Raw genomic sequence first — 12,308 nt, 5'->3', positions numbered from 1 at the left:
AAAAACCTGTTACATATGTAGGCAAATATATTCTTTTTTTTGAGACCAAGTTCCACTCTGTCACTTGAACTTTATGTAGTTCAGGCATTCAGAACTACTAGAACTTTGAATAGCCATTTGGTTAGGGATAAGCATCATGCTGTATGGGGATGAATTAAAGGTAGAATAGAGTGCCAGAAAAAGGTAAAAGGGGTCAGTTTCTTGAAGAAAGAGAAAAGGGGTGGAGGAGGTGTCATAAGCAAAACATAAGTGTGTGTTTTTGAAATGATCTCATCTTAACGTTCTTTCTGACAGGAAAGACTTAGGACTTTGGAAGAACTTCCAAAAGACAGCCTGTGTAGCACTTTCAGTTAAGGGCAATATCTTAACTTAGAGCTGACTTCTAATATGAATCTTGAAATGCTTTTCATTTGGAATTATGCCAATAAGTGCTACAATACTGCTCAGTACAGTTCACTACCCTAGTACAGAAAGTGAGGGAAAGAAGCTAGCGTGATTTCTGAATTTGTGATAGAAAAGTTGGTCATAGCATTAAAGTATTTGTCCATCAGATTGTAAGTACTAGACATGTAGCTCACTCTTCTTTTAAGAACAGAAGTATGACTGGAATTCATGGAGTTAAGTAAAAACAATGGCAATTTGCAGAGGGATTATAGGGAAGAACAGAAATATAACTAATTCTATTAGTAATTACTCTTACTTGTCTTGGAAGATACATCCTGTTAAGATGGAAAAGACATGCCAAGTTTTGACATAATCTGAGATTAGTCTTTCTTTTAAAGGAGATTGCATCCATTTTGACCCATTAATTTCTTTTTCAAGCTTGTTTGAATATTTAGAACAGGAGGCATTTATATTTTATAATTTTTGATAAAGTCATAATGTCTTTTGGGATACTTGACTCTTAAATGTTCTATAATGATTCTCTTTGCAAGCTGCTTTCTGAATGAAGGTAGAATAAATAGAAGTGAGACACCATAAGCACATTATAATGGCCTGATTTAGGAGCCTGAATTTGTGGTGTTCTTTTGTGTTGACCATGAAAACTGTCAGAAACATTAAAAGTCTGAAACAGATTTCAGGAGGACCAACAGTTGAATAAGGGATCTGTATGAGGAAAAATAAAGTTGGAGCCTTCTAAAAGAAGGTTTGGAACAAGTGTCGAAGGTTAAAAGAACCCCTGTGGAAAATTTTAAGTGTCAGAGAAAGTTTAGTTTAGAATATCAAGCATTCTTGGCTGGACCAAGTGCAATGGTGTTTACAACTAATTGATCACAATGAGTTACAGGTTTCTTTGTTTTTTCTGCACTCCCATTGCTTTACTTGACTAGCTTAAAAAAAGAGAATATCAAGCACTCTTTAGTCTGCCTTATTAATTTTTGAATGATTTGTCTGGGAGATATAAACTTTTGAAAATTTTACAACTTTTTCTTGGAAGAAAAATATTTGACCAAAACGCTAATAGAATTATTTACCAGATGCCCTGTCCTAGTAATTCACTGGATAACTTGTACTTAAAATTCAATGACTCCTCATAACTCAATGTAAATATAGATGCTCCTTGACTTATGGGGCTGTGTCCTGATAAACCAACTGTAAGTTGAAAATACTGTAAGATGAACATCATAGCTTAGCCTAGCACACCTTAAACATGCTCAAAACAGAACACTTAAATTAGCCTACAGTTGGGCAAAATCATCTAACAAAGCCTATTTTATAATAAAGTGTTGAATAGCTCATGTAATTTATTGAATATTGTACCGAAAGTGAACCACAGAATGGTTGTGGGGTCAAAGTATGTTTTGTTTTTGTTTTGAGACGGAGTCTCGCTCTGTTGCCCAGGCTAGAGTGTGGTGGTGCCATCTTGGCTCACTGTAAACTCCACCTCCCAGGTTCAGGCGATTCTTCTGCCTCAGCCTCCTGAGTTACTGGAATTGGAGGCACACGCTACCACGCCCATAGTAGAGACAGGGTTTCACCCTGTTTGTCAGGCTGGTCTCGAACTCCTGACCTCGTGATCCGCCAGCCTCCGCCTCCCAAAGTGCTGGGATTACAGGCGTGAGCCACTGTGCCTGGCCCAAAGTATGTTTTTTATTGAATGGCATATCACTTTTGCACCATCATAAAGTTGAAAAATCCTAAGTCAAACTGTCCTATGTTGGGGATCATTTGTATTTACTATATGGTAGAACTTTTAAGATCTGTTCCCAGGTTTGATTGACCTGTTGAGTCTGTGGGACTGGACTTCCCTGGAATAAGAACTGTAGGAAAGTTTTGTGTTTGGATGAATGTAAACTTCACATTTATTTTTATCCAGGCCTACCTGAAAATGTTTTCTGGTAGGATTTCTTCCATACTGCTTTTTTTCTTATAGTTTAAAAAATGTAATATGCTACCAAACATTATAAGTAATATACATGTATGTTACAAAAATTATATAATAAACACTTTTGAACCTATCTAACCAATAACCTAAATATTATCAATAACTTATTCATACTGTTGCAACACCAAGTTTTATTCCAGTGTAAGTTTATCTTTGGATCTTTGACTCTTCTTGGGTTTTCTTTTCTTTCTTCCTCCTATTCCTCCTCCCTCCCTCCTCTTTGTCTTTTTAAAAATTAAGACAAGTCTTTTCAGGGATGCTATCTGAGATTAGTCTTTCTTTTAAAGGAGATTGCATCCATTTTGACCCATTAATTTCTTTTTCAAGCTTGTTTGAATATTTAGAACAGGAGGCATTTATATTTTATAATTTTTGATAAAGTCATAATGTCTTTTGGGATACTTGACTCTTAAATGTTCTATAATGATTCTCTTTGCAAGCTGCTTTCTGAATGAAGGTAGAATAAATAGAAGTGAGACACCATAAGGAAACCATTGTTTGTTTTGTTTTTGTTTTTGAGATGGAGTCTCGCTCTGTTGCCCAGGCTGGAGTGCAGTGGCGCAATCTCAGCTCACTGCAACCTCCACCTCCCGGGTTCAAGTGATTCTCCTGCCTCAGCCTCCCGAGTAGCTGGGACTACAGGTGTGTGCCAACATGCCTGGCTAATTTTTTGTATTTTTAGTAGAGACGGGGTTTCACTGTGTTAGCCAGGCTGGTCTCAAACTCCTGACCTCAAGCAATCTGCCTGCCCGCTTCTGCCTCCCAAAGTACTGGGATTACAGGTGTGAGCCACCATGCCCGGCTAGAAACCATTGTTAAAAAAACCTGTGATTGATACGTTTGGCTATTAACATGTCACTTAAAGTTTCTGAATGAATGTGGATGAATGAGACATAGTGCTAAAACAGATTAGAGAACCATTCTCTAGAGTAATTAGACATTCAGTTGTACTTTTACATAAGATAAATTGAAGTAAAATCTATTTTAAATGCAGAGGTGATTTCATAGGGTTGTTTGCTGTATCCAGTGGTTCTCAGACTGTGATCCCCCAGCCAGCACTATCAGCATTGCCTGGAAACTTGTGCAAATTATCTCGACTTTTCAGACCTTTAGGTGATTCTGATAGAGCTAAAGTTTGAGAAGCACTGCCATATAGGTCTATCTTCATTTTTATTATCTAGCTTGGGTAGGCATGTTAGTTTGGAATAATGTTGTATGGGTCTGAACTTCCTATTGTAAGTGACAGAAATCCAACTTGAATTAGCTTAAGCAAAAAGGAATTTAAAGGCTTTCTTAGGTGGGCTGGGAGATTATTGTAGTAGCTTACAGATTCAAAGCAATAGTTGCAAAGAATCAGGGCCCTGGGGGTTGAAACTGTTTGTCTCTGTATGACTTTGTCCTGTTTATAGATCCTAGACAAGTGAGAAAGATGGTCACAGGAGAGCCCCAAGTTCACATCCTCTGAGCTTAGCAACTCCAGAAAGAGCTGCTTTCTACCATTCACAAGGCCATCCCTCAACCGTTATGTTAATGAGAATGAAAGTCAATGATTGACCTAGTCTGGGTCTTATATCTAAGTGTAGGAGGAAATAGAATGGGAAAGTGTGCTACTTTGGCAGCCTAGTTCACTGCTAGATAATAGGGTTGCTTTCAAAGTATCGTTATTTTTATTTTTATTGTTATTTATTTATTTATTTATTTTGAGACAAAGTCTCACTCTTGTCTCCCAGGCTGGAGTGCAATGGCGAGATCTCAGCCCACAGGAACCTCCGCCTCCTGGGTTCAAGCGATTCTCCTGCCCCAGCCTCCTGAGTAGCTGGGATTATAGGCGCCTGCCACCACGCCCGGCTAATTTTTGTATTTTTGGTAGAGACGGGGTTTCACCATGTTGGCCAGGCTGGTTTCGAACTCCTCACCTCAGGTGATCCATCCACCTTGGCCTCCCAAAGTGCTGGGATTACAGGCGTGAGCCACCGCTCCTGGCCTTACTGTTGTTTTTACGGGTATAGAGTCTCTGTCACCCAGGCTAGAGTGCGGTAGCACATTCATGGCCCGCTGCAGCCTCTACCTCCCAGGCTCAAGTGATCTTCCAGCCTCAACCTACTGAGTAGCTGGGACTACTACCACACCTGGCTATTTTTAAAAATTTTTTATAGAGTTGGGGTCTCCTTGTGTTGCCTGGGCTGGTTTCGAACTCCTGGCCTACAGTGATCCTCCCACCTTAGCCTCCCAAAGTGTTGGGATTATAGGCATGAGCCACTGCACCCAGTTTAGGCTTAAGTATCTTTGAAAAAGAGAAAGTGAAATGTAGAGGCTTATAGAACTACAAGATGGAACATGCTCAAAACCTTATATTATTTGTTAGCTACTCTTTTGTTAGAGAGTAATTAACTACTTCTTTAAAAGTTTAGGGTATCTTAATATGAGAGTTAATGCTTTAGGTTTATTATTTTGTACGAAGTTAATTTTTTTGTCACTATAAAAATATATTATAGGAGGTCTGGAAAATACAGAGATATAAAAGAAAATTACCAGCCGGGCGCGGTGGCTCACGCCTGTAATCCCAGCACTTTAGGAGGCCGAGGCAGGCAGATCACCTGAGGTCAGGAGTTTGAGACCAGCCTGGCCAATGTGGCAAAACCCCGTCTCTACTAAAAATACAAAAATTAGCTGGGCGTGTTGGCAGGTGCCTATAATCCCAGCTACTTGGGAGGCTGAAGCAGGAGAATCGCTTGAACCCGGGAGGCGGAGGTTGCAGTGAGCTGAGATTGCGCTACTACACTCCAGCCTGGGCAACAGAATGAGACTCTGTCTCCAAAAAAAAAAAAAAAAAAAAAAAAAAAATTACCTACTGCTTTGCTAACCAGAGACAATTACACTTTGGTGAATTTCCTCTGCATATGTTCTTGCATAGTTATGACTGTATTATGATGTTAATTTTTCTTCGTTTTGACCAGTGTTAATTTATTTATAACTTTGTGTTGGGGTAATGAAAACATAATCTTAGTCAATATAGATTCCACCAAGGTTGTATGATAATTTTTAAATCTTGTTTTTTCATTTAACTCTACAAGTTAAAGGATGTGTTCATTTTAAGTTTCTTGGCATATAACAACATTAAATAATTTTGCTTGTTAATTGTTCACTTGATGGGCAAAAATGGTTTCTTATTTTGTGTCATTAATTACTAATAAGTTTGAGCATTTTTTGTTGAGCTAACTACTTTTCCTTTTTGTGAGTTCCAAGTTCTATATCTACTTGTCTATTAACATCTTAGTGGTTTTCTTATTGATTTGTATGAACTCCTTAAAAGTGCTCTATTTTCTTTAAATGGTTTTCTAGTTTGAGTTTTAAAGGTTTTTTTTTTTTTTTTTTTGACACATAAGCTTATTTTGTGTATTCAGATTCCATCTGGCTTTTGATAGGTTGTTTTCTTTCTCTCTTTTTTTTTTTTTTGAGATGGGGTCTCACTTTATTGCCCAGACTGGAGAGCAGTGACAAGATCATGGCTCACTGTAGCCTCAACTTCCTGGTCTCAAGTGATCCTCCTACGTTAGCCTCCCAAGTAGCTGGGACCACAGGTGTATGCCACCGTACCCAGCTAATTTTTTGATTTTTTTTTTTTTTGTAGAGATGAAGTCTTGCTATGTTGCCCGGCCTGGTCTCAAACTCCTGAGCTCAAGTGATCCTCTTTCCTTGGCCTCCCAAAGTACTGGGATTACAGGTGTGAACCACTGTGCCCAGGCATTTTCTTATTTTTAAGTTTAGAAATTCTCTGCTTTTAGAGATCTGATAACTATTCTGTTGTTGCTATTTGTTTTACTTTGTTTTGTTGATTATAACTATTTAATCCATCCTAGAATTCATTTTGAAACATTATGTAAGGTAAAGATATTTATTCTTTTTACGATTGTTTTGAATTTTTATGTAGGCTCTGTCATTCTTAAAATATTTTCAAGCTATTCGAAGAAAAATACCATCTTAAGCTGCTTTTTAGTTATTTCTGTAGGCTAATGGTTTTTAATTCCTTGTGAGATTTAAGGACAATGAAAGATGACAAAAAAACTTTAGTGACAATATATTTTAGCAATGGCAAAATAACCTCTTTTCTGACAAATCTAAACTCTCTTATCAGAGTTAAAAGTTTAGACAACATTTGTGATTAGCCTTCTGTTAACAGTGAAAACATTTGTATTTTCTGCAAATAGCATTTATCCATGAAGAAAATTAGAATAGAAGTATGTTTAAACAGAAAATTCTAGACTCTTCTTCAGACAGCTCAGGCTTTTCAAAAAGCCTTGTGCTTTGGCAGGAGCCCAGGAGAGGAAGTGTCTACATCTGCTACATTCTAGAAGCCTTCCCCAAATCACTGTAAGGTAGCCAAAAGAGCAGTGTATTTCCTTACTGTGTGGTTCTGGAAGTAACTGGAAGTTTGCAGCAAACTCGAGGGAGGAGACTAGGGAGTACTTCCAGTTTTTGTGGTGATCTGTTTTTATTGAGATTCAAGTTAGGGGGCAGTGGGGTTATTTTTTAGCTCTTGTAGAACGGGGAGCTTTCAATTTGAACCTGAGCCTTTTGGTTTAGCTCACGTCACATAGGAAGACGAGTCAGAGGGGCCTGCACAAAGAGAAACAGGTTGACAAGTCAGGGTAACTAATGGGAGCCTGTTACTGGGGCAAACTATACTGTAATGTAACTTATTCTCCTGTAAGGTAATAAGAAAGACAAAGTTCATGTTTGTAGGGGAGAAGGAGCAAGAGAAGAGTGCTAGCAGGGCATCTGGGAAAGTGAGGTAAAGCCTTTCTGTTGGTTAGTTTATATCCTCATCTGCCATGAAGAATCCTCACTAGAAAAGACGGTGCTATCATGGATATAGAGGAAAAACACTAATGGGCTTTGCTGCCAGGTTTAAAAAAAGAAAAGAGGCCATAGACATGTCTTAGGCTAAGTTTTTTTTTACATAGAACACAGTTGATAAGAGAAACAAAACTGAAGTCTGGGTCCTTTGAGAGAAAATACTAGTTTAAATGGACATGGCTGTTTATTCGTTTTGGATTCTCTACAACTTAAAAAAAAAAAAAAAACAGGCACAGTGGTACAGACCTGTATTTCCAGCTACTCAGGAGGCTGAGGTGGGAGGATGATTTGAGCCCAGGAGTTTGAGTTCAACTTGGACAACATAACAAGACCCCTGTCTCTTAAAAAAACAAACTAAGTCAAACCAAGAGAACAGTGTCATTGCAATATAATTCATATACCTTATAATTCACCCATTTAGTATTCATGATTCAATGGTTTTTAGTACTTTCACAGAGTCATTCCACCATCAGTCACCACAGTCAATTTTATTTTATTTATTCATGTTTTTTAGAGATGGGGTCTTGCTGTATTGCCCAAGCTGGCTTTGAACTCCTGGGTTCAAGTGATCCTCCTGCCTCAGCCTCCCAAGTAGCTGGGACTCCAGGCACCTGCCACTGTGCCTGGCCAGTCAATTTTAGAACATTTTATTGACCCCAAATCTACAACTTTTGATTGAATTTATTTTAAAAAGTTAAGCTATATAGGAAAAAGATGGGCCGGGTGCCGTGGCTCACGCCTGTAACCCTAGAACTTTGGGAGGATGAGGTGGGCGGATCACCTGAGGTCAGGAGTTTTGAGACTGTCACACACACACATACACACATACACACACACACACACACTATATATATATATAAAATATATATGAAAAAGATGGAACAAATTAGGAATTTTAAGGATTAACAGAAAGCTCTGAAATATTTTTCCTTTAAAATGTATTCTAACATTTTGAAAATGTATTGGTAATATTTAATATTTAAATTGATAAGTTGGTACATTTTTATGAGAAAGTCATAGGATAGGTCTAAATCACAGAGAAAACTTATTTTTCAGGCTATATGAAAAAGCCACCTACTATTCAATTACTCTAATTGTAATAGTGACTAAGGAGAACAAACTCAGCTTGAATTTTTAAGCATAAATTATCAGGTGATAACAAACATACATTTTTATCTAATATGGGTGCGTTGGCTCACACTTATAATCCCAGCACTTTGGGAGGCTGAGGCGGGTGGATAACTTGAGGCCAGGAGTTCGAGACCAGCCTGGCCAACATAGCAAAACCTTGTCTCTGCTAAAAAGACAAAAAGTTAGCTGGGTGTGGTGGCACACACCTTTGGTCCCAACTACTTAGGAGGCTGAGGCATGAGAATCGCTTGAACCCGGGAGGTGGAGGTTGCCGTGAGCCAAGATCACACCATGGCACTCCAGCCTGGGCGACAGAGACTCTGTTTCAAAAGAGAAAAACACAAAAAAGAAATGTCATGGTAGTACTCTCATTATATGAAAAACAAGATAGTAGCTATTATTAAACAATTGATAATAACTAACATCAATTTTATGGGCAACCTTGGAATCTTTTACTTTTTCATAGAAATAATAGATAAGGAACTTTTCCTTCTCTTTGTATTTTTTAAGTAATGGCTGCATTTCTCTCTTTCTTTTGTAGGTGTGTGATCCTGTAAAATTAAATCTTCCAAGATGATCTGGTATATATTAATTATAGGAATTCTGCTTCCCCAGTCTTTGGCTCATCCAGGCTTTTTTACTTCAATTGGTAAGTCTTACTACTTGTTGTTTTTTGTTGGTTTTGCATTTTTTAATTTCCATTTTTTAGTGTTTTAAAATCAGCAAAAACAAATACAGTGTATTCCTAGAGTATAGGTTTATTCCCTGCCCCCTAAAAGGTCCTTTTTTAATAATTTGACATTTTCTTTATTTTTTATTACAAAAATGATACATATTGAAGTTAAAATAATTTAATGCATATACTTAGTCTTTTTCAGTGCACAGATATACAAGTAATATACTGCATATATATCTAATCTGCTTTTTCCACTTAATCTACTGTGAACACAAGTTTTTTTTTGTATTTATAACTTAAAAAATATTTTATCATTATTATTTTGAATAGAGACAGGGTCTCACCATGTTGACCAGGCTGGTCTTCAACTCCTGGCCTCAAGGGATTCTCCTGGCTGGGCCTCCAAAGTGCTGGGATTACGACAGGCATGAGCTGCCACGCCTGGCCCATAAGTATTATATACTTATGACTCTTGATTCCAGTATATAAAATGATGGGTTCTCGCATCCTGTTATAAATAACAGATTATTTGAAACTTTTTTAGTGTGGCTTTTATTAATTAAATAAAAATTTAATTCTAATTAGTCTCAAAAACAAAGGTAAGGTAAAGGGGAACTAAAGAAGTAAAGGTAAAGGTGAAGAAACATTAATCTTTGGAAAGTAGTGTTGATTTGCAATTTAAAAATACATTTGTAGATATAAAGACAATTTGCTAGCACAGTCTAAAGCTTGCAAAATCAAGTGGCTTAAAAATTAGAACTGGAACAGTTGATTAGAAAAGTTTTTGGCTTTATTTTGGTTTATCTGGTAAAAAGGAAGAAAAGATAGTCTCCAGCATATCTGATTCATGCCAGTTAAATTGTCTCATAGAATGAAACAGTCTCAATCATTCTTATTCTTAACATACTTGTGTTGAAGGATATGAGTATTTGATAACCTTCTTCCCCTTCTAGGTCAGATGACTGATTTGATCCATACTGAGAAAGATCTGGTGACTTCTCTGAAAGATTATATTAAGGCAGAAGAGGACAAGTTAGAACAAATAAAAAAGTAAGCAAAATGTTTGCTTATTATGACTCTGACTCAACCTGGATGTTTTCTTTCTCAAGCTAAAATATTCTTTAAGTAGAAATGAAACCCATTTTTGAGTCTTACAAAGCCAGTTGCAATGGCTAAAATAGGAGTATAGAGAACAAGTTAGGCTTGGGCCAACTTTCACATGGAAGAATATGGGTTGGGATAAGAATATGGATAGATACCAGCCGGATGCGGTGGCTCATGCCTGTAATCCCAGCACTTTGGGAGGCCGAGGAGGGTGGATCACTTGAGGCCAGGAGTTCAAGACCAGCCTGGCCAATGTGGTGAAACCCTGTCTCTACTAAAAACACAAAACTAGTCGGGTGTGGTAGCATGTGCCTGTAATCCCAGCTGCTTGGGAGGCTAAGGTGGGAGAATCACTTGAACCCGGGAGGTGGAGGCTGCAGTGAGCCAAGATTGTGCCACTGCACTCCAGCCTAGGCTACAGAGCCAGACTCTATCTCAAAAAAAAAAAAAAAAAAAGAATATGGATGGATACAGGAAGCTGACTGATACATTTTTTTTTTTTTTTTTGTGACAGAGTCTTGCTCTGTTGCCCAGGCTGGAGTGCAGTGGCATGATCGTGGCTCACTGCAACCTCCACCTTCCAGGTTCAAGTGATTCTCTTGCCTCAGCCTCCCAAGTAGCTGGGATTACAGGTGTGCGCCACCATGCCCGGGTAATTTTTGTATTTTTAGTAGAGACGGGGTTTTGCCATGTTGGCCAGGCTGGTCTCGAACTCCTGACCTCAGGTGATCTGCCCTCCTCAGCCTCCCAGAGTGCTGGGATTACAGGCGTGAGCCACCGCACCCAGCCTGACTGATAAATTTTAAAAGTATTGCTAATATCTTCTATCCTCTTCTAACCTCTTAGTCAAGCCACCTGCTGCAGCAATTTTCCAATTCTACTTATCCTTTACTCCCATGGTTCCATTGTAGAGATTATAGTGATGGTAGCGTTAGTGTTATTTAATTGATACAGTTTTTCTCAAATATGAATTTATTTTTAATTGACTCATGTTCATAGTTAATCCTGACCTGAGAATTCCTGTCTTTTATTTAATGAGTAGCTAAGTGTTCAGTTTTTCATTTTAAGATACAGTTTCTAGAAACTGGATGTAAAAATTTAGTATAAGTTGATTTAAATGAACATGTAATTGAATTTGGGTTGGGCTAATTTGTAGTTTGTAATAATCAGTTATTTGGCCCTGGGACCTAAGTCTAAAATTTTTAGACTTTTACTGGAGGGATTCATTCACAACTTTTACTAAGACAGGGAGGTTCCATTTACTGTAACCATTTGGGAGAAACAAAATTAAAACAAAAAGTCCTATAGTTGTATTGATTCTGCCAAGAGGATGTCGCTTTTTAAAGAGACCGAGACCGTATACTTTTACTTTAAAAAGAAACTACAGATATAGTTGAACTCAAAAACTTCTAGTCATTTTTTTTCTGAGCGTTTCATTAAATTGTGTTTTTCCCTATGAAATATAAATATTCAGTTTTTATGTTTTACATCTGTAGATGGGCAGAGAAGTTAGATCGGCTAACTAGTACAGCGACAAAAGATCCAGAAGGATTTGTTGGGCATCCAGTAAATGCATTCAAATTAATGAAACGTCTGAATACTGAGTGGAGTGAGTTGGAGAATCTGGTCCTTAAGGATATGTCAGATGGTAAGTCTGAAGAGATTCCTGAGTAAGGTAATATTGCCACCATATGTAGAAATAATAAAATTAATGATAAATTCAGTTCCCAGGAAACCAGTTCAGTTCAGTGTTGTAACTGGATTATGCCTGGGTGCATTTGGTTTGAATAGAGTTAATTTAGTCAAAATCCTGAATTCTTTGATTAAAAAAGAAGTAATTTCTTTTTTTGTTGACTTGTTTTGAAATCTGCAAAAGTGAATAGATTATTTGGCATATAGCTTCATTTCTGAGGGTAATCATTTTTATTTTAGGATTACCTTCAAACTTTAAAAATTTATGTCTTTATCTGCAATCAATTTAAAAAAATGTTGGGAGTGTTACTATAAAGAGAAGTATTAGCTGTGTTCTATCTAGTATTTTGAAGTTTAGAATTAGTTTGCTCAATGTGGACAATCAAACTGAGGCTGCAAACAGTAAAAATGAGTAAGTGATACAATACAATTTGTAGTTGGAGCATTGAAATGTTTTAGATA

General features: G+C 37.5%; 1 protein-coding gene across 4 annotated transcripts in view, besides 1 other annotated feature; it reads left to right on the top strand.

Annotated features, from left to right (window-relative positions):
* Nucleotides 1-12,308, top strand: part of P4HA1 (prolyl 4-hydroxylase subunit alpha 1) — an 89,650-nt gene that overhangs the window by 13,036 nt on the left and 64,306 nt on the right. For 3 of the 4 annotated variants that reach the window (NM_001142596.2, NM_000917.4, NM_001017962.3), the window contains exons 2-4: nucleotides 8,916-9,023; nucleotides 10,004-10,100; nucleotides 11,651-11,802. In NM_001142596.2, coding sequence (NP_001136068.1) covers nucleotides 8,948-9,023; nucleotides 10,004-10,100; nucleotides 11,651-11,802 — 325 coding nt within the window. In that variant the 5' untranslated portion in view covers nucleotides 8,916-8,947. Of the gene's footprint in view, nucleotides 1-6,017; nucleotides 6,111-8,915; nucleotides 9,024-10,003; nucleotides 10,101-11,650; nucleotides 11,803-12,308 lie in introns of all 4 variants that reach the window. The other variant, NM_001142595.2, reaches the window with a different exon arrangement.
* Nucleotides 6,690-6,759: an enhancer, noted in NCBI's record as "active region_3554". NCBI's record gives its function as "activates an Ori minimal core promoter by ATAC-STARR-seq in GM12878 lymphoblastoid cells {active_cell/tissue: GM12878}" and the evidence as "EXISTENCE:reporter gene assay evidence [ECO:0000049][PMID:35858748]".

The sequence above is a fragment of the Homo sapiens genome, chromosome 10, assembly GCF_000001405.40.
Source record: "Homo sapiens chromosome 10, GRCh38.p14 Primary Assembly".
NCBI lineage: Eukaryota > Metazoa > Chordata > Mammalia > Primates > Hominidae > Homo > Homo sapiens.
Note: the sequence above shows the minus strand (reverse complement) of the source record. Positions and strands in the feature narration are given on the sequence as shown.